General features: G+C 40.7%; 1 protein-coding gene and 1 pseudogene across 72 annotated transcripts in view; one reads left to right on the top strand and one right to left on the bottom strand.

Moving 5' to 3' along the window:
* ASPH (aspartate beta-hydroxylase) overlaps window positions 1–22,181 on the bottom strand; it is a 214,037-nt gene that overhangs the window by 64,968 nt on the left and 126,888 nt on the right. For 71 of the 72 annotated variants that reach the window (NM_001413901.1, NM_001413909.1, NM_001413895.1 and 68 more), the window contains 3 exons: window positions 18,421–18,506; window positions 11,249–11,335; window positions 1,645–1,795 (listed from right to left, as the gene is read on the bottom strand). In NM_001413901.1, the coding sequence (NP_001400830.1) occupies window positions 1,645–1,795; window positions 11,249–11,335; window positions 18,421–18,506 (324 nt within the window). The remainder of the gene's footprint in view (window positions 1–1,644; window positions 1,796–11,248; window positions 11,336–18,420; window positions 18,507–22,181) is intronic. The other variant, NM_001413899.1, reaches the window with a different exon arrangement.
* KRT8P3 (keratin 8 pseudogene 3) lies at window positions 12,621–14,382 on the top strand (annotated as a pseudogene).

Below are 22,181 nucleotides of genomic sequence, written 5' to 3' on the forward strand. Positions count from 1 at the left end.
TTAAGGGAAGAAAACATCTCCATAAGATAAAAGTGTAAGATGAAGTAGCAAGTGCTAATGTAGAAGCTGTAGCAAGTTTCCAGAAGATCTAGCTAAGATCATTGATGAAGTGATCTACACTAAACAGCTAAGATCACTGATGAAGTGATCTACACTAAACAGCAAATTTTCTATGTAGACAAAATCACTGTCTATTGGAAGAAGATGCCATCAGGACTTTCATAGTGAGAGAGGAGAAGTCAATGCCTGCTTTCAAAGTTTTGAGGATACACCTACTGTGTTGTTAGGAGCTAATGCAGCTGGAGACTTTAAGTTGAAGCCAGTGCTCACTTACGATTTTGAAAAACCTGGGGCCCTTAAAAATTATGCTAAATCTACTCTACTTGTGCTCTATAAATGGGAAAACAAAGTCTGGATGATAGGACATCTAGCATGGTTTGTTGAATATTTTAAGCCCACTGTTGAGTCCTTAAAAAAGATTCCCTTCAAAATATTACTGCTCACTGATAAGCACCTAGTCACCAAGAACTCTGATGGAGATGTATAAGGAGGTGAATGGTGTTCTCATGCCTGCTAACACAACATCCATTCTGCAGTTCATGGATCAAGGAGTAATTTAGACTTTTAAGTTCTATTATTTAATAAATACATTTTATTTAAATGTCACAATATAAAAACTAACAGGAGTTTGGGGAGGAAGTTGCTTCCAACCCTCATTAATGACTTTGAGGGGTTCAAGACTTCAGTGGAGGAAGTAACTACAGATGTGGAAATAGCAAGATAACTAGAATTAGAAGTGGATCCTAAAGATGTGACTGATTTGCTGCAATCTCATGATCAAACTTTAATAGATGAGTAGTTGCTTCTTACAGATGAGCAAAGAAAGTGGTTTCTTGAGACTGAATGTACTCCTGGTGAAGATGCAGTGAACATCGTTGAAATGGCAACAAAGGATTTAGAATATTCCATAAACTTTGTTGATAAGGCAGTGGCAGGGTTTGAGAGGATTGACTCCAATTTTGAAAAAAGTTCTGTAGGCAAAATACTGTCAAACAGCACTTCAAACTACAGATAAATCTTTCCTGAAAGGAAGAGTCAATCAATGCAGCAAACTTCATTGTTGCCTTATTTTAAGAAATTGCCTCAGTCACCCCAACCTTCAGCAACCACCACCCTGATCAGTCACTGGCTATTAACATTGAGGCAAGACCCTCCATCAGCAAAAGGATTACAACTCACTGAAGGCTCAGATTATCGTTAGCATTTTTTAGCAATAACATATTTTTAAATTAAGGCTTGGACATTGTCTTTTAAACCATAATGTTATTTCACACTTAAGACACTATGACATAGTATAAATACAACTTTTAGATACCCTGGGAAATCAAAAAATTTGTGTAACTCTCTTTATTCTGATGGTCTGGAACCAAACCCACAGTATCTGTGAGGCATGCCTCTATTAAGATTAGGATTACAATTTCAGTTTTAGAGATGGTGAGCCTAGGACAGACACATTACTTGAAATCAGTTGTAAAACTCAGGTTTTCTCCCACGTAATTCTTCTAAGAGAAGAATACACTCTTCAGCTTCTTCAAGATAAAACATATGCCATTTCCTACTGAATTACCTTTGATTGCATCTTACCTAGAAATTGTTGCCTGTCTGAGCGACGCTTCAAACTCAGCTTCAGCAGGTCTGCAGGGACATCAGGTAGGCTGGCCACCTCTTGGTAGGTCTCGATGGCTCCACGTAGCACCTCATTACTTCTCCTCTTCTCAGCCAAATCATCCTCACACTAGAAGAAGTCCCCAGACTGGATAAATGTCCCATGACTAGCTGTGTTTGTAATTACCCAAAATATTCATAAAAAGTTAACTTTTGGACATGCTTTAAAAGAAATGTAAGACACGTTAGCCTTTTCTCCTTATCAAGAGATAAAAAAAACTAACAAAAGATAGAAAATCAACACACTATTTTAATAATACAAGGTAAAGTTTGTTACTAAAGACAAGAAAGAATGTCATAAATGCAGGACTAATACACGCTGGGGCTGATGGAGATGTACGTCCTATTACACACTAACATTATATAGGCAGGTCTCCAGCCCAAGTTCCCGTTCTTTCATTAATTTATTCGTGTATGCATTCGTTCATTTAACAACTGTTTTCTGGGAAAGAGGCACTCTTCTACAAATGTGGCAGGCATATTGAACAAAACTGACAAAGCCCTTTTTGCTTCTACTTTGCATCCATTTTGGAAAGGTGGCAAATATAATAAACAAATAAAGGTACTATGTGTCTAACAGCCATAAGTGCTGTGGATAAAAACAAAGCAGGCTTAGGAGTGCTGGGTAGGAATGGTAAGGAGTTGCTAATTTAATCAGGATAATTGGGGAGGGCCTGAAAGAAGAGAGGGAGCAAATTATGAAGATACCTTGGGGAGTAGCATTCTAGGCAGGGAAAAGAGCAAGAGCAAAGGCTTGGAGGTAGGAGTGAGGAATCGAGGACAGGCCAGTGCAGTGGAGGGGAGGAAAGGGAAGACCAATGGAGGCCATGAGGTAAAGTAGGGCCTGGCAAGATATTGACAATTCTAGTACACAAAGTGAGACGGGAAGACAATGGGGGCTTTTGAAATGATCTGATGTATGTATTGAAGGGATCATGGTGGCAGCCGTATGGAGAACAGACTGAGAAGCTGGGAGAGGCAGAACACTCCAGCAGGAATCCAGGTGTGGGATGGTTATGGCTTGGACTAAGGTAGCAGTAATGGAAGTGGTAACAAGTGGTCAGATTATAGATACATTTTGAAGGTCAGAGCCAACAGATTTGCTGATTGTCTAAATGTAGGGTGTGAGAAAGGGGGAGAGAGAAAAACCATGAATGAACAAGGTTTGGGCTTCAGTGATTACTGGATGAACCGTCATTCCTTGAGAATGGGAAGAAAGGGCAAAAGCAAGTTTGGGGGCAGTATAGAATCAGGAGATTTGTTTTGGACATATTAAACCTAAAATGTCTATAAGATATCCAAATGGAGTTACTGACCAGGAAGGGGCATATATGAGTCTGAAGTTCAGGAGGGAGGTCAGAGTAAGAGAAGTTAAGTGTGGGAATCATCAAGGATGAAGATGGTATGTAAAGCTAGGAAGCTAGAAGCAGTCGAGAGTGTAGACAGAGAAAAGAAGCGGTCCAAGAACTGAATCCTAAAGAACTCCAATGTTTAAAGGTCATTAGAGATCAGGATAACAAGGGAGGAGCAGCAAAAAGGAGGGAGCACCACAGTACTGCAGGTTCAAGAGAACATGAGATGGAAGGAGGTGGAGATAACTCTTTTGAAGAGTTTCACTGTAAAGGGGAGCAGAAAAATGAGCCAGCTGGCAGAGGGTAATGTGCAGACAAGGGGAGTTCTTTAAGGATGGGACATAGTACAGCATGCTTCCAAGGAGATGCAAGAGACTCAGTAGAGAGGGAAAATCTGATGATACAGAAGGAGACACAAAAATTAGAGGGATGTCCTTCAGCAGGTGAGAGAGGAACAGGGACCAGAATAGTCCATCTGTGCTAACAGGAGGGAAGGCAGAACATACAGGCACAGGTAGAGGATGGCTGTTAGCAAAGTAGCAGCATCAGGTGGAAATTGTCTGGATATTTCTATTTTCTTAACGAAAAAAGAATCAACATTCTTAGCTGGAAACTGAGAATGGAGAGTAAAATACTGGAGTCAGGAAGAGAGAGGAGAATGTGTAAAATGTCATCAATATCTCATCAGATTTAGGAGGCTACAATCTGAAGCCTATTATTCGAGGAAAAATGATTCTGGCTAGATGCTAAAAGTAGCATATATTTTTTTTTCTCAGAATATTTAAACATGTTTATGTTGTTAAAATGTGTGCTGTAGTTAATATATAGATGTATGCAGAATCAAAATAAAGTATCGCTCCATAATTTGAGGGCACAGTAAGAAAATGACCCATCCCTCCCATATCCCAAAGTAAAGAACAAACAAACAAACAAACCTAAGAATCAGCACAAATTGACAAAATAAGACAACTATGGGATTTTTTTTCACAAAATAAGACATCAATGAAATAACTTGATAATATGAACTGATTAGGATAAATTACCCAAGATGATGAGAACTAGAATTAAAGTGATGGAAGTGGACAGATTTATGAGAAAGAAAACTTGGTAGGATAAAAATCTCTAGATTAGAAAAGGAAATTCACCCTTGCTAAATGGAGATATGCTCCAGACCATTCACTATCTTTGGAAGTCTGTAAATGTTCTCCAGAATAGTCTTATCTACCAGGAGAGAAAGTCCAGTGTCAATGACCCACACTGATCATGATGCTGGCATGGCCTTCTATCATATATTCATATACTGGCTCTTCTGTATAGGTATCAGCTCCTTGTGAGTTTTGTTATAGTGAGTTAACTCCCCAGAATATGAATGTTGATAGATAACTTTGCAAAACACAGAGTTCTAGACCTGAGAGTCCTTTCAAAACCATCTACAGATGTTCACTGACTTTCGACGGGTTTACACCTCATGGTAAGCTGAAAACGTCGTAAGTCAAAATGTATTTAATACAGATAACCTACTGAACATCATAGCTTAGCAGAGCCTATATTAAATGTGCTCAGAAAACTTAATCAGCCTACATTTGTGCAAAATTACCTAGCATATAGCCTATTTTATAATAAAATGTTGAATATCTCATGTAATTTATTGGATATGATACTGAAGTACAGTTTCTACTGAATATGTATCACTTTCACACCATTATAAAGTTGAAAAATTGTTAAGAAAAGACATTGTAAATTGTAAACCATCTGTGGTTCACTCTCTTCATTTTGAACCTACAGAGTGCCCAAAAAGATCCTGGAACTGGAGGTCTCTGTAGCATTAGTGGGAGGACAAATGCCTACCAAGATAATCCTTCTTTATTGAGATTGGAATAAACATCTTTAAACTCAATCTGAAAAGGGAGAGAGATAGTATAATCTGTATGCCTTGTCCCCTCTCTGGTGCCCCAGGGCCCTTTGTTTTAATGAAGTATTAACATTTACAACTTGCAGAATTGGAAAAATATCACTACTAAAATGGCACATAATTCTTTATAAGCTCTTGAATAAAACTGATAGGCACTTGCACTGAAAAGTCTGCAGATTGATTTTTATCAGTGTAGCATCTGTAGATAAAACAAGCTAAACTGAAACTGAATATTTGTTACAGGATGTTAACATCGCAAAGCCTTTTGTTGACTCTAACTAATTCACCCAACCAATCTTCCTATGAGATGTGTCATTTTCTGCCTCAAAGGCATTAATGGTTTGTGAAAGATAATAAAGTGAATTGAGTTTATATTTTAATATTTTGTGTCCAATGTTCAGGGAACTTGATCAAAATTAATTTTGGTGATATGAAGAAAAAGACAATATCAGTGCTACTTTAGAAATGAGAGATACTATAGTTTATATATGACTTAATGTTGCAAAATTTTAAAAATTTGTTGGAATATTCCAAAGTAATTGTTTAATCTGCTAACAAAGAATGAAAGTCATAATTTCTTCCTATAAAACCCATCTTCTGTTGAATTTTTATTTTTAAAACTACTATGAACTTGAAGTTTCCTTTAAATTACTCTATTAAAATTTAATTTACCATGGCTAAATTTTGCTGTATGCCACATTAATATTAATAGCAATAACACATTGAAGCATAATAGCATAGAGATAAAAGATATTGCTTGAAGCCTAAATCTCAATTTTCTACTGTGACATAAGGATATACAGTCATCCTTAGTTATATACTGGAGATTAGTTCCAAGACCACCACCATCACTGCCGCACTGCAATACCTCAGTCTGCAGATGCTCAGGTTCCTGATATAAAATGGTATAGTATTTGCATATTGCCTATCCATATCCTCCTGTATAATTTAAATCATCACTAGATTACTTATTATACCCAATACAATGTAACTTCTATGTAAATAGTTGTTATATTGTATCATTTTTATTCGTATTATTTTAATTGTTGAAGTGTTATTTTTTATTTTTTTTCTGAATATTTTCAATCTGTGGTTGGTTGAATCCATGGATATGGAACATGAGGATTCAGAGGGCTGACTGTAAATATAACAATCACACTGTTTCAAGAGCATTTCATTTACTTAGACTTTGGTACTCACAATTAATATTACATATAAGGAAAACTTCTAAGGTATAAAACATTTTTGCCATAATTAAATTAGCATTTGCATAAACCATTTCTCTCTCTAGTTAATATGCTTCTCTTAATGAAATGACTTAATACTAGTGATAAAAAACACTACTTATTTGAATAGGCATGATCTTTTTGGTAACAAACACACTCTCTCTTACTTAATAGCAAAATGATTTAGCAATTTCAGAGAATTACTGACCAAACTAATTTATAAAAATCATACAGTTGCTGTCTGCTAAAGCTGGTCTGTACCATGGACAAGAGGAATTTATTTGAATCAATTTTTCACAAATCTAATTAAAATCGAATTAATAAAAAATATATTAATTACTTTTTAATGGAGATATAAGAAGATACTGAGCATCTGGATCTCAAGTGGTCACCATCTTCAGTTCAGAACAAAATTCACTTGTTTTATCTACAGCTGAGTTAGTTCCTGTGTGTGTCCTGTACAAATGTCTGCATGGACCTTCTCCATAGGGGTGCTGTCAGCATCTCCTCTGTCTGGAAAATTTCTGCACTCTGAATCTACCATTTCCCAGCAGGGTTGACAATCTTGACCTCTAGGCAGAGCTGTTGGAGCTTTACTTCCTGGCATATTTTGATATCCTGCCCTGGCTTTTCCTCCAAGTTCCAGGCTCTGTGAATCCAATGGTCTACTTGACATGTCCACCTGAATGTCTCATAGGCATCACACACTTAATAAGACCAACAGCAAACTCTTGAACTCTTGACTTCTGCATCACTCCAGACTTGCTCTTCCTGGTCAGTAACTGGCATTATCCTCCACTCAGCTGGCCGAACCAAAAACTCAGGGGTCAGCCTTGAGTCCTCTTCCTCTGATGTTTTTACATCTAATCCATCCTCAAGTCCTTTCAGCTCCACCAACTGCCCACTTCCCTCATCTCCATGGCCGTGAACGCAGTCCAAGCCACCAGCATCTCTTGTGTACACTTGCAATAGCCTTCTATTCTTTTTGCATCTACTTTTGCCTCCATAATCCATTTTCCACTCAGTAACCAAAGCAAACTTTACAAAAAACAACCAGACTGTTGGCACAAGGAGGCCCTCTCTCACCACTCCTATTCGACGTAGTATTGGAAGTTCTGGCCAGGGTAATCAGGCAAGAGAAAGAAATAAAGCGTATTCAAATAGAAAGAGAGGAAGTCAAATTGTCTCTGTTTGCAGATGACATGATTGTATATTTAGAAAACCCCATCGTCTCACCCCTAAAACTCCTTAAGCTGATAAGCAACTTCAGCAAAGTCTCAGGATACAAAATCAATGTGCAAAAATCACAAGCATTCCTATATACCAATAATAGACAAGCAGAGAGCCAAATCATGAGTGAACTCCCGTTCACGATTGCTTCAAAGAGAATTCAACACCTAGGAATACAACTTACAAAGGATGTGAAGGACCTCTTCAAGGAGAACTACAAACCACTGCTCAAGGAAATCAGAGAGGACACAAACAAATGGAAAAACATTCCATGCTCATGGATAGGAAGAATCAATATCGTGAAAATGGCCATAGTGCCCAAAGTAATTTATAGATTAAATGCTATCCCCATCAAGCTACAATTGACTTTCTTCACAGCATTAGAAAAAACCTACTTTAAATTTCATATGGAACCAAAAAAGAGCCATATAGCCAAGACAATCCTAAGCAAAAAGAACAAAGCTTGGAGGCATCACACTACCTGACTTCAAACTACACTACAAGGCTATAGTAACCAAAACAGCATTGTACTGGTACCAAAACAGATATATAGACCAATGGAACAGAACAGAGGCCTCAGAAATAACATCACACATCTACAACCATCTGATCTTTAACAAACCTGACAAAAACAAGCAATGGGGAAAGGATTCCCTATTTAATAAATGGTATTGGGAAAACTGGCTAGCCATATGCAGAAAACTGAAACTGGACCCTTTCCTTATACCTTATACAAAAATTAAAGACTTCAATGTAAGGCCTAAAACCATAAAAACCCGAGAAGAAAATCTAGGCAATACCATTCAGGATACAGGCATGGGCAAAGACTTCATGACTAAGACACCAAAAGCAATGGTAACAAAAGCCAAAATTGACAAATAGGATCGAATTAAACTAAAGAGCTTCTGCACAGCAAAAGAAACTATCATCAAAGTGAACAGGCAACCTACAGAATGGGAGAAAATTTTTGCAATCTACCTGTCTGACAAAGAGCTAATATCCAGAATCTACAATGAACTTAAACAAATTTACAAGAAAAAAACAAACAACCCCATCAAAAAGTGGACAAAGGATATGAACAGACACTTCTCAAAAGAAGACATTTATGTGGCCAACAAACGTGAAATAAAGCTCATCATCACTGGTCATTAGAGAAATGCAAATCAAAACCAGAATGAGATACCATCTCACGCCAGTTAGAATGGCGATCATTAAAAAGTCAGGAAACAACAGATTATAGAGAAGATGTGGAAAAATAGGAATGCTTTTACATTGTTGGTGGGAGCATAAATTAGTTCGACCATTGTGGAAGACAGTGTGGTAATTCCTCAAGGATCTAGAACAAGAAATACCATTTGACCCAGCAATCCCATTACTGGGTATATACCCAAAGGATTATAAATCATTCTACTATAAAGACACATGCACACATCTGTTTATTGTGGCACCATTCACAATAGCAAAGACTTGGAACCAACCCAAATGCCCATCAATGATAGACTGGATAAAGAAAATGTGGCACATATACACCATGGAATACTATGCAGCCATAAAAACGGATGAGTTCACGTCTTTTACAGGGACGTGGATGAAGCTGGAAACCATCATTCTCAGCAAACTAACACAGGAACAGAAAACCAAATACCACATGTTCTCACTCATAAGTGGGAGTTGAACAATGAGAACACATGGACACAGGGAGGGCAACATCACACACCGCGGCCTGTCGGGTGGGGGGCTAGGGGAGGGATAGCATTAGGAGAAATACCTAACATAGGTGATGGGTTGATGGGTGCAGCAAACCACCATGGCACGTGTATACCTATGTAACAAACCTCCATGTTCTGCACATGTATCCCAGAACTTAAAGTATAAAAACAAACAAACAAATAAACAAAACCCAAAAAAACAAACAAACCCTCCCATGGCTTCTCAGCACGTGTAGAATAAAATCTGCAAGGTCACAGCCTCCTTGATCCTTGCTTCCCTGCCCCAGCATGCCCTTCTTTCTTTCCTCAGGCTTATCCCAAGATTGTTTTCCTGCCTCAAAGCCTTTGACTTGCTGCTTTCTCTTGCCTGGATAGCTCCTGCTAGTAATATAACCTCCTCACATCTCAGCCACATGTTGTCTCCCCAGAGAGACCTTTCCTGCCCAACTTGTCCAAAGCGCTGTCTGCCCCATTCTTTCAGTCATGTTACCTGCAGCCAAAAAAATCTTAATAGGTATGCTCTTCATTCCATTACATTTTCTTATTTTCTTTACAGCATGTCTTATTAGGTAAGATGATCTAACATATTTATTCTTAATACTTTATAATGTTCTTTAAGTACATATTTATTTATAAAGACTTTCAGGGCTTTGCTCAAATGTCACCTCCTTGATGAGACCTTTCCCTGCCACCTTTCATACCACGTCGACCCCCTCACATGTCTGTTGGCTGTTCTCTGTTTTCTTTTTCCTCTGCTTAGCACTTAGCCCTAGAAAGCATATACATTGGACTTACTTGTCTTATGCATTGTCTTCCCCTTTACAATGGAAACTCTGTAAGTGCTAGGGCTTTTAAAATATGTTCTACTGATGGCTGTATCTCTAATGCTTAGAACAGGGCCTAGCACACAGTGGGCTTTCACCAAATATTTGTTAATAATTAAAAAAATCTTCCACTGGAATCCACAAGAATGTTCACTGTATTGTATTGTAATTATTTTTAAATTTTCTGTATATTATGATGTTTTGACATCTTAAAAAAACCTCTCTGGCTAGGGAGAGACTGCCCTGAGCTAGACAATTCTGAGCTGGCCAGTGCTCAGCCAGGAGAAAGCTTTTGATATGCAAATTAACCAATCCAGAGCCACGCCTCCTCGACTTTAATCATCTCAGGGCCAGGTACCACCCCTATAGGCAAAAGGTACCACCTCTGTAGGCAAAAGGTACCACCGCTGTAGGCTGAAATTATTCAAACCAGCCAGTCCTAAACTGTTCACCCTGCCCTACTTTGCCTCTTCCATGGAAACCTCAATAAAGGCTATGGCCAAACCTTCCCCTCGTTCTTGCCTACCATCCCCTGATCACCTTGAGTCTTTCCCATGTAGCCCTGTTTGGCATGCTGGGCCTCCTGTCTCTGTGAGCATAATAAACTTGCTTTTTCCTAATCCTGTCCTGTGAGACCTCTTGTAGCTGCACCTGACTAACCATCTCATAAAAGAATGCAAAACAGACATTCCCAGGGCCTAAAACACTGACATACAGTGGGTTTATGCAGTTACAGGTGAAAGGGGACATGCTTCATGAAAGGAGTTGGAAACTAGAAAAAGCCAGATAAGAAAGGAGACGGTGGGAGATGAGGATAAAGGTAGCTGCTAAGAAATGAGTCCGTTGGAAAAAACTATAGAGACATCAAAGTATGTTCCACTTTATATTTTAGAAAGGTCTTTCCTAAGCATACTTGCAACCTCCAGTTATAAAACTGAGAGTCTGAAAGCTCTGAGGAGCCTCAAGTGAACACTGTATGGTGGGATTAGATGGAATGGGACATGAGGGGATGGTAAATCAATGACAAAAGTGTTACTGTTTATTTTCTTTTCAAAGCCAGAGAGAAGTCATATGGAGGGGGAGCAGAAAAAAATGTTACTAAATTCAGCAGCATGCAATAGTGATAATTGTATTTCTTGCTTATGCATATACATGAGAAACTGATTCTGTAGAGAAATTAGAAAGGGAAAATAGTGAGGAGTAAAAAATTCAATCACACAAAACACATGAACATCAAAAAAGTGTCCTAAGGAGAAGGGTCTCAGAATACCTGCGCCTTCCCATATCTTGCTCGTGGACTCTGAGGGTATTTGCGTACTAGTTCTTTAAATGCATTCACTGCTTCCTCAATTTTTCCCTGTTAGAAAGACAAAATTACATAAATAAAATAAATTAAAATGAATAATCAATCAATATTGTTATTTAATATTCAGCAAGTGGTTTTGTCAGAGTTTCCTAGATTCCATCCTGAGTGTAAAGATAGTTTTATCTAAGATTTTAAAAAAAGCTATATTAAGGCAAACAGAAAACTAGTAATGAACACATATTTACTTCATTTTTAAAAAGACAGAAGGACAGAAAACCAAACATCGCATGTTCTCACTCATAGATGGGAATTGAACAATGAGAACACTTGGACACAGGGTGGGGAACATCACACACCAGGGCCTGTCGTGGGGTGGGGGGATGGAGGAGGGCTAGCATTAGGAGATATACCTAATGTACATGACGGGTGAACGGGTGCACCACATCAACATGGCACATGTATACTGTATACATATGTAACAAACCTGCACATGGTGCACATGTACCATAGAACTTAAAGTATAATAATAAAAACATAAATAAATAATAAAATGACAAAAAAAAAAGAAAATGGCAAGGATGCCCAATCTCGCAAAAAAAAAAAAAAAAAAAAAAAAGACAAGACACCTGATAAATGATGTAATATGTGGTTTTGCTAAAGAAATTGAATTTTCCCTCAATATAAGTACAGGTTCTACCATGTTCTCGAATATTGTATTAGTCTGTTTTCACACTGCTATAAAAAATACCTGAGACTGGATAATTTATAAAGGAAAGAGGTTTAACTGAATCACAGTTCCACGTGGCTGGGGAGGCCTAAGGAAACTTGCGATTGTGGCAGAAGGCAAAGAGGAATCAAGGACCCTCCTGACATGGTGGCAAGAGAGAGAAGAGTGAGGAGCGAAGGGGGAAGATCCCCTTATAAAACCATCAGATCTCATGAGAACTTACTATCATGAGAACGGCATGGGGGAAACTGCCCCCTTGATCCAATCACCTTCCACCAGGTGTCTCTCTAGGCACATGGGGATTATGGGGATTACAATTTGAGATGGGACTTGGGTGGGGACACAGTGAAACCATATCATTCCACCCCTGATCCCTCCCAATTCTCATGTCCTCACATTTCAAAACACAATCATGCCTTTACAACAGTCCCACAAAAGTTTAACTCATTCCAGCATAAACCCAAAGTCAAAGTCCAAAGTCTCATCTGAGACAAGGCAAGTCCCATCCACTTAGAAGCCTGTAAAATCAAAAGCAAATCAGTTACTTCTAAGATACAATGGGGGTACAGGTATTGGATAAATGCTCCCATTCAAAATGGGAGAAATTGGACCAAGAAGCAGCTTCTCCGCTCCTTCTAGGATCTCCGCCTGGTTCGGCCCGCCTGCCTCCACTCCTGCCTCCACCATGTCCATCAGGGTGATCCAGAAGTCCTACAAGGTGTCCACCTCTGGCCCCCGGGCCTTCAGCAGCCGCTCCTACACGAGTGGGCCCGGTGCCCACATCAGCTCCTCGAGCTTCTCCTGAGTGGGCAGCAGCAGCTTTCGGGGTGGCCTGGGAGGCGGCTATAGTGGGGCCAGCGGCATGGGAGGCATCACCGCAGTCATGGTCAACCAGAGCCTACTGAGCCCCCTTGTCCTGGAGGTGGACCCCAACATCCAGGCTGTGTGCACCCAGGAGAAGGAGCAGATCAAGACCCTCAACAACAAGTTTGCCTCCTTCACAGACAAGGTACGGTTCCTGGAGCAGCAGAACAAGATGCTGGAGACCAAGTGGAGCCTCCTGCAGCAGCAGAAGATGGCTCGGAGCAACATGGACAACATGTTCGAGAGCTACATCAACAACCTTAGGCGGCAGCTGGAGACTCTGGGCCAGGAGAAGCTGAAGCTGGAGGCGGAGCTTGGCAACATGCAGAGGCTGGTGGAGGACTTCAAGAACAAGTATGAGGATGAGATCAATAAGCATACAGAGATGGAGAATGAATTTGTCCTCATCAAGAAGGATGTGGATGAAGCTTACATGAACAAGGTAGAGCTGGAGTCTCGCCTGGAAGGGCTGACTGACGAGATCAACTTCCTCAGGCAGCTGTACGAAAAGGAGATCCGGGAGCTGCAGTCCCAGATCTCGGACACATCTGTGGTGCTGTCCATGGACAACAGCCGCTCCCTGGACATGGACAGCATCATTGCTGAGGTCAAGGCACAGTACGAGGATATTGCCAACCAAAGACGGGCTGAGGCTGAGAGCATGTACCAGATCAAGTATGAGGAGCTGCAGAGTCTGGCTGGGAAGCACGGGGATGACCTGTGGCGCACAAAGACTGAGATCTCTGAGATGAACTGGAACATCAGCCAGCTCCAGGCTGAGATTGAGGGCCTCAAAGGCCAGAGGGCTTCCCTGGAGGCCGCCATTGCAGATGCCGAGCAGCGTGGAGAGCTGGCCATTAAGGATGCCAACGCCAAGTTGTCCGAGCTGGAGGCTGCCCTGCAGCGGGCCAAGCAGGACATGGCACGGCAGCTGCGTGAGTACCAGGAGCTGATGAACGTCAAGCTGGCCCTGGACATCGAGATCGCCACCTACAGGAAGCTGCTGGAGGGCAAAGAGAGCCGGCTGAAGTCTGGGATGCAGAACATGAGTATTCATACGAAGACCACCAGCGGCTATGCAGGTGGTCTGAGCTCGGCCTATGGGGGCCTCACAAGCCCCGGCCTCAGCTACGGCCTGGGCTCCAGCTTTGGCTCTGGCGCAGGCTCCAGCTCCCTCAGCCGCACCAGTTCCTCCAGGGCCGTGGTTGTGAAGAAGATCGAGACATGTGATGGGAAGCTGGTGTCCGAGTCCTCTGACATCCTGCCCAAGTGAACAGCTGTGGCAGCCCCTCCCAGCCTACCCCTCCTGCGCTGCCCCAGAGCCTGAGAAGGAGGCCACTATTCAGGGTAGCACTGGGAACAGGAGACCCACCTGAGGCTCAGCCCTAGCCCTCAGCCCACCTGGGGAGTTTACTACCTGGGGACCCCCCTTGCCCATGCCTCCAGCTACAAAACAATTCAATTGCTTTTTTTTGGTCCAAAATAAAACCTCAGCTAGCTCTGCCAATGTCAAAAAAAAAAAAAAAAAAAAAAATGGGAGAAATTCGCCAAAACAAAGGGGCTTCAAGTTCCATGCAAGTCTAAAATCCAGTGTGGCAGTCATTAAATTTTAAAGCTCTGAAATCATCTCCTTTGACTCCATGTCTCACATCCAGGTCATGCTGATACAAGTGGTGGGCTCTCATGGTCTTGGGCAGCTCCACCCCTGTGGCTTTGCAGGGTACAGTCCCCCTCCCAGCTGCTTTCATGGGCTGGTCTTAGGTATCTGCGGCTTTTCCAGGCACACAGTACAAGCTGTTGGTGGATCTACCATTCTGGGGCCTGCAGGATGGTGGCCGTCTTCTCACAACTCCACTAGGCAGTGCCCCAGTGGGGACTCTATGTGGGGGATCCAACCCCACATTTCCCTTCTACGCTGCCCTAGCAGAGGTTCTCCATGAGGGCTCCACCCGTACAGCAAACTTTTGCTTGGACATCCAGGCAATTCAATACACGTCCTCTGAAATCTAGGCAGAGGTTCCCAAACCTCAATTCCTGACTTCTGTGTACCTGCAGGCCCAGTATTGAAATCTGTGTTACTCTTCGATGGCCTCTGTAACAAACTACCACAAACTTGATGGCTTAAAATAAGAGAACTTTGTTCTCTCGCAGTTTTGCAGAACAGATTTCCAGAATTAGTTTCTCTGGGATGAAATCAAGATGGTGGCAGGGCTGTGCTCTATCCAGAGGTTTTACGGGAATATTTGTCCTTGTCTATTCCCAGTATTTCTTGATTTGTGGATGGATCACTCCAATATCCAATTCTGTCTTCATACTGCTTTCTTTCTCCTCTGTATGTGCTACTTTTTATTTTGTCGGCATCAAATTTCCCTCTGTCCCTCTCTTATGAGGAAACATGATTGCATTTAAGGCCCAACTGGATAATCCAGGATAATCTCTCTATCTCAATGTCCTTAATCACATCTGCAAAGATCCTTTTCCCAAATAACATAACATTTACAGGTTCCAGACACATATCTTTTGGGGGTCTATTTTCAGCCTAGTATGCACCCCATGCAACTTAAATTGCAACTGTCAAAGCTATTTCAATGATAATTGTGCTAAATGTACTAATATCAGACTTAAAACATAAGAATAACAATGTTCATAACAAATTTGATAAGGTGAGATATTCCTGCTTGACACTGTCAAGGCTGTTAAAATAATGGGATATTTTGGCTCTGTCTGCAGCATCCTTTGAATCCCTGCAAGACAGAGGCTCTGTGACTTTCCTGAGGGGCCATCAGCCTTGCTTTCACTTCAGTTGGCTGGCAAAGTAAATGTGTTTGCTTTTAGTCTGAAAGAATTTCCCTTCCCTAAGTTTTTGTATAGCTCCAAACACTATTGCTCAATTCTAATTTAAAAACTCAGCTGCAAGACACAAAATGTTTGAAGAATTGCCTGAAAATGATCTGTTCCTCAACATAGCTTATAATGTTCTCCTAGGACCAAGACAGTTCATGGGAGAGACATGGACGTAGGCCACACTGTGTTGACATGAGGCCAATGGGCTGTGCGGAAGGATAATAAGATACATTCCTGCAGCTGCATGGTAGAATAATCCACTGGTATGATGTCAGTGGGGAAGTAGGAAGTTTTGCATCCATCAGTATACCTTTTATGAAGATCTACAGCCAAATGTTTCTCTCTGGACTTGGAGCAGAACAGCTCTTCTGATGAACAATATTAATCTTATCTTCTGATTCTGTTTTCCATGTTGTCCCTCGAGGAATTGTTGACTTCATTCCTAGCATGGTTTAGAGCCAGTGGTGTGAACTTTCAGGTATTTGATTACATTTTCTTTACTCCCTCCCCACCTTTTCAAAAATCACTTACAATGCTGTAATAATAAGTGATTCCAACAAATAAGCAAATATATTTCAGTATATCATTTCAAACCCTTTTTCCAGAGGTAGGAAAGCATTTTAAATAATAAATATTATTATTTTTTAAAATAGAGGATTGGAATATAATCTGATCTATACTTTTCTGGGGGGATAAAAAGCGAACACATACTTTCATGTAACATAGTCCTTGAGCCTAAGGCATGAACTGAGGCTGCACTGGCTCTGTGTGGAGTGTGTGTTAGTTGGCCTCGGCTGGTCCAGTGCACTAAGGTGCATCCTCTGAAAATACTAGCCATAAAAACAACCCTAAAAGACTGAATTATGTTGATGAGTCAGTCAATAACATAGCTTCCTGTTGTTTCAGAAGCAAGAATTGTATATGGGGCTACTTCTTCCTCTTTTATTTCCCTGGTATAAATTCAAGATGCTCCTTGAGAAAAATATAACTTCTCCAAAGGAGCAACACTGCAGAATACCCCATAACTGAGCCCTCCTTTATCATTCATATAATTACATTAAAATCCTTCTCTAAAGCTGCTCATATGTTTTTTACACCAAAAGTCACCTGTGCAATAGGCACTCCCATTTTTATATATGACATTTAGTATAGAGAAAGTGGAGGTTGCCAAAGGAGGTGGCAGAAAAAGATTATTGCTTCAATTCTATTAAGAAATACAAACTGACCACAAACAGTAGATGGCTTCACTTCATAAAGTTAAACAAGACAGTTAACTTTCTTGTTTACTATCAGAAAGTAGGAATCATTCCACGTGGTTAGATTTAAGGGAAGTGAACAATGACTTTGCTGCAATATTCTGTGGAGTTACTCTATTTTTATTGGCAAACCTTGGCTTTGGAGCCTCACCTAATGCCAGTTCCAAAAGCCTTTATGCTCATTGGTACACTTTCAATAAACATGCGGACGTACATTCTTGTCCCATTTTAGTTCCTAACCAGTGTTTTTATTGTTGTTTGTTTACTTAAAGCCCACTTGTTCCTTTATTATTGCAGCCAATGTCTACTGATTAAAAAGCCTATTACAGGAAAACTAATGAACATTACAGAGTCTACATTCAAGTGCAGAGTAGAGAAACAAATTTCCGCCAAAAACAAGGAGATGATTAATTGAAGATATGATTAAATACATTATAATAAATATTTTTGCACCCGATGATTAGATGATATGACCAAGGTAAGGGAACGAATAACTTAAATCCAGTTTCAATTTATTGTTCTCAAAATTGTAATATCTATAAAGAAATGCAAGTAATATTTCAAATATATCGACAAATTAAAATATAAATAAGGTACCCTGAAAACTGGAGGTGCATGAGGTTAACCCTAAGTAAGAAGAATGTCATTTCATCTACCAATTACTATCCTGAGTAATGGACTGACCTAGTTTTTCTTTTTGCATCAAGGAGCTATAAAATTAAAAACTTGCACTTCTATGATACTTGACAGTGTTATTATTATTATTATTATTATTATTTTAATCTCACTTATGGCTCACGCCTGTAATCCCAGCACTTTCGGAGGCTGAGACGGGTGGATCACTTGAGGTCAGGAGTTCAAGACCAGCCTGGGCAACATGGTGAAACCCTGTCTCTACTAAAAATACAAAAATTAGCCAGGCATGGTGGTGAGCATCTGTAATCCCAGCTACTCAGGAGGAGAACTGCTTAAACTCAGGAAGCAGAGGTTCCAGTTAGCCGAGACTGTGCCACTGCACTTCAGCCTGGGTGGAGGCTCTGTCCAAAAAAAAAAAAAAAAAAATTCTCATTTGATCTTTAAATTGATCTTTAAAAAACTCAATTAGGAGGTAGAAAGAATATTTATCATTATCATGTCTGTAAGAAAACTAACGCCCAGAAGAGCCAAGTGGTTTCCCCAAAGCTGCATAACTAGAATGTGATGGAGGTAGGCTGACACCCGCATCGGCTGGCCTGAAGGAAAGTTCTATTTCTCTTTGGCCATGTGGTAGCAATTCTCTTCCATCTGATTCATTTCATGTGGAATGTTCATGTGCCTGGGGAAAAATCCACTCTATTCAACTGTTGTTTCTTTTACACTTACTATTTTTTTTTTTTTTAACAAATCAAGAGTAATGCCTGAGTTTATTTAACAACAAAACCATTGCACAAAAAATATCAACCTACCCTTTTACGGAGTTTTTCTGCAGCATCAAGTTCAGCTTTAATAGTCTTATCAAATTTATTTAAAAGTTTAGGCTTCTTTTTCTTAACTGAAAGAAAAAAGAGATTTTTATTTTTAACGTTTTTTGACTAGAAATAGTTATTAAGCATAACAATTTACAAGTAGTGGGAAACCTGATGCTGGTCTCCACCAAAGACCTGCAGGAGAAGGCACACTGCAGGCTCGCCTTCCATTTCCTCCCCTAGATGGTGTGATGAAGTCAGTGACTGCCAAGGAAGGCAATGCAGCCCTTACCTATCTGCTACAATGTGTTCTTGGGAGAGTGGGTGGATAGTATACTGAAACTCTCCAGGATACTGGCTTGGTTTCTGGGATGTAAATGGTGGGTATGACTCCTAAACTCTCATAATCTACTTCTTGGCTATGTCCAAAAGATTGTTTAAAATAGTTTTTTTGAATATGTCCACAACTTTTTCTGATACAGATAAAGATGAAAATGGAAGGCTCCTCTCAAGGAAGTCAAATAAAACAGAATTTCTTCGTTTAGCATTCAAGGTCCTTCCAGTGCATCCTGGACTGACCACCCCAGCTATGTTCCATACTTCAGCCAAAATAGACTGCCCCATGATCCCCAAATAAGCTTTTTGTGCCATTTCTTCTCTTTCTTTCTTTTTCTTCTTTCTTTCTTTCCTTCTTTCTTTCTTTCTTTCTTTTTCTTTCTTTCTTCTTTTTTTCTTTTTTTTTTTCTGTAGAAACAGAGTCTCACTATGTCACCCAGGCTGGTCTTGAACTCCTGGCCTCAAGCGATCCTCCTGCCTTGGCCTCCCAAGGTGCTGGGGTTATAGGCATGAGCCACTGTGCCCAACCTGTGCCATTTCTTATGCTACCTCATTTAAATAAAAAGCCTGTTCTTTATCTTCTTCTGTGAAAAACGTGCCTATCCTTCAACAATAAGTTCAAAACCACGCTCCTTATAAAGTTTCTCCTGAAATCACCCACACAGTACTCAGTTCCCTGCTCCACTGTGTGCGTCTTTAAGTCCACTGCACCCTGCGTATCTCTGTTTTGTGGTCCTTCCCCACTAGGGGTTTTGTTATAATCCTTCACGCGCTTATCTTAGTCCTAACTCTTGCAGGGTGGTACCGTGTCTTAAAAGCAGGCTGAATCTGTTTATGTAAGCATCAATCCATTGCTTACTTAGCAAACAGTTTTTGGCTCTGTGCACAACCTCAGCACCCAGCAAACAGGAGCCCTCCTCCCGAAGGCAAGGCACACCCAGCAGGTGAGAGGGCCAGTCCTGCTGGTGCACAACTGGCAGTGCCTGCAGAGTGGATGGATGCAGAGCACTTCTCAGAAGCCCCAAGTGACAAGAGTGGAAGCTTGAAGGGTAAGCAGAATGTTCTGGAGAAGGGGAGTGGTGGCAGGGAAGGGGGCAAAGCGGGAGGGATAGAGACGAATTAAAACAATCAGAAGAGAACTTCCTCAATTTTCTGACAATAAACCTACAGACGTTAATAGCTTCTTCCCTATCTTGTCACAAAGGAAGACGGGCTGTTCTTTCTAAGGTCCCCTCTCCGCCAACACACACACCTGTCTTGTGCCTTCTGAATGTCTATTCACTCTCAGCATCTCTCGTGTGCCCCCTGGTGGGAATTTAATAATGCGTTAAATAATGCCAAAGTTTCTGCCATCTTACAGCAAACAAACAAACCAGCCTACCCTCCTCTACTTGCCACGCTCCCTCCCCTCCCCTGGGGGGCACCTCTTTGTCACCTTTCCTGTCAGCACTTTGGCTTCCTCACCCACCACGTGGGCAGAAGCAAGTCTGCCAGAGGAGGGAAGGCTGTGTGGTTAAGCATCGATGGCAGGGGTCTGAGTCCCAGCTCTGTCACCTCCAAGCTCTGTGACCTAAGCCAAGCTGGCACTAAACTTTTCTGGGTCTCACTTACCTCCTCTATAAAATTAGGGGTGTTTTTGAGGGTTAAATCAGGATAGTATATGAAGCATTTAACACAGTGCTTGGCATACAGTAAGTGCTCAGTACCTGAGAGCTATTATAATAATGGCTACGGCTTTCTGCAAATCTATTTGTTCTGTTTCTTCCTATTTTACCTGGCCCTTTTGCAACATTTGACACAGTTGATGCCCTCCTCCTTCCTAGATGATCCCTTTCCTTGACTTTTATGTTGCCCACTCTCCCAGTGTTCTTCCTTATTCTCTAGCCTCTTGAATTTCTCTTTATTGCCTCTGTAACTCCTTCTCCCTGCTGCTCCTTGGGATGTTATATTCTTCAGGGTCAGTCTTCAGTCTCTTTAGCGGCTTTAACTACTTAATTTCCAGCTGAGCTACAAACCAACTAGTTCATTTTCTCCTGCATCACGAAAATTATAAATCCAAGCACCTATTGACACATACCTCAAACTCAGTAAATAAAAAATAGAATTTGCTATTCCTCACACATCTATTCTTTTTCATATTGACTTTATTGCAGAGAATGACACCCAATTGTCCAAATCAGAAACTTGGTTATAAAACACAACCAAAATAAGGGCAAAGAAGAGCACATGGAATCATCCTAAGGAAGATGGAATGGAATCACTACTGTCTTTTTAGCACTCACTCTGCGCCAGTCGCCCGGCCACACACTATACATAGATACCTTTTATTTTCTCAACTTCCTGAACACAGGGAATTTAACTACACGGAGAAGACCACTGAGGTTCCAAAAGGGTTAGTTACCTTGACCCCTCCACTCTCTCACCCACATGGAAAGAAGTGGATACTTATTTCGTGTTTCCCAAGAAGAGGGAAGATTCTCCAAAATACTTAGTCTCCTACCTCTCCCTACAGGGGAGGTGATATGACTTAATCCACTTGCTGAGTTGGTAGAAGGAACTTGAAGTTCAGTTTCACTCCTTCCCTACCTCTCAAGAGCATGCACACTGAGCTGAGCTGAGCTGACCTTCTGAGAACATTCGTGCTGAGCGGAACTGCAAGAGAGGCTCTCACATGGAAGAACTAAGGCTGTTCCATGCTGTCTGGAGCAGTGGGTATGTCCAATTCTGGGGCTCAGTGTTAAGAAATCTGTTATTCCTGATTATCCAAACCCCCTCTTTTAATTCAACTTTCATCAAGTAATAAAGCTGACACTCTGATCATCTTTTAATTACTTACACATTTGTTTGCTATGATCTTCTATTATATTTATTTGACTTTCCTTCTCTCTCCTCCCAGAAACCCTAATCCCTGTAATGTTGAAAGCTATATGTGTCTAAGGCAGAGACTGAAAAAACAGTGAATAATGAGCTTTAAACTGCATGCCATTATATGTTACCATATATGCTGATATGGAAAATGAATAGACATTTCTCTGTGACACAGATTGATGGTAGTAGGAGCTCATGCCTTGTCATCTCAGCACAGACTTATGTCTCCCAATTGTTCATTTTGCTTTTGTAGAAGTGTCTATCAACAGAATGACAGTGAGACCTCCAGAAAAGCCTGGTGTGCAGCTGAGTAGACAGTTTCACTGTGGGCATCACTGGTTTTCCCCAACATGTCTCTTGTGTTATAAAATTCAAGTTAAAATAATATTTATTTAAAAGAAACTAAAAACTAGCAGTTTAGGACATCCAAAACAGTGTAACAGCAAAATTATATGCTTGTTAATGAGCAATGCTGTATCTTAGTGTCACGATATTTCAATAACAGCACTAAAATAGACAAAATATTAAAAATCTCACAGCATGCCACCATGTTCTAT

The sequence above is a fragment of the Homo sapiens genome, chromosome 8 (genome assembly GCF_000001405.40).
Source record: "Homo sapiens chromosome 8, GRCh38.p14 Primary Assembly".
In the NCBI taxonomy this organism is placed as follows: Eukaryota; Metazoa; Chordata; class Mammalia; order Primates; family Hominidae; genus Homo; species Homo sapiens.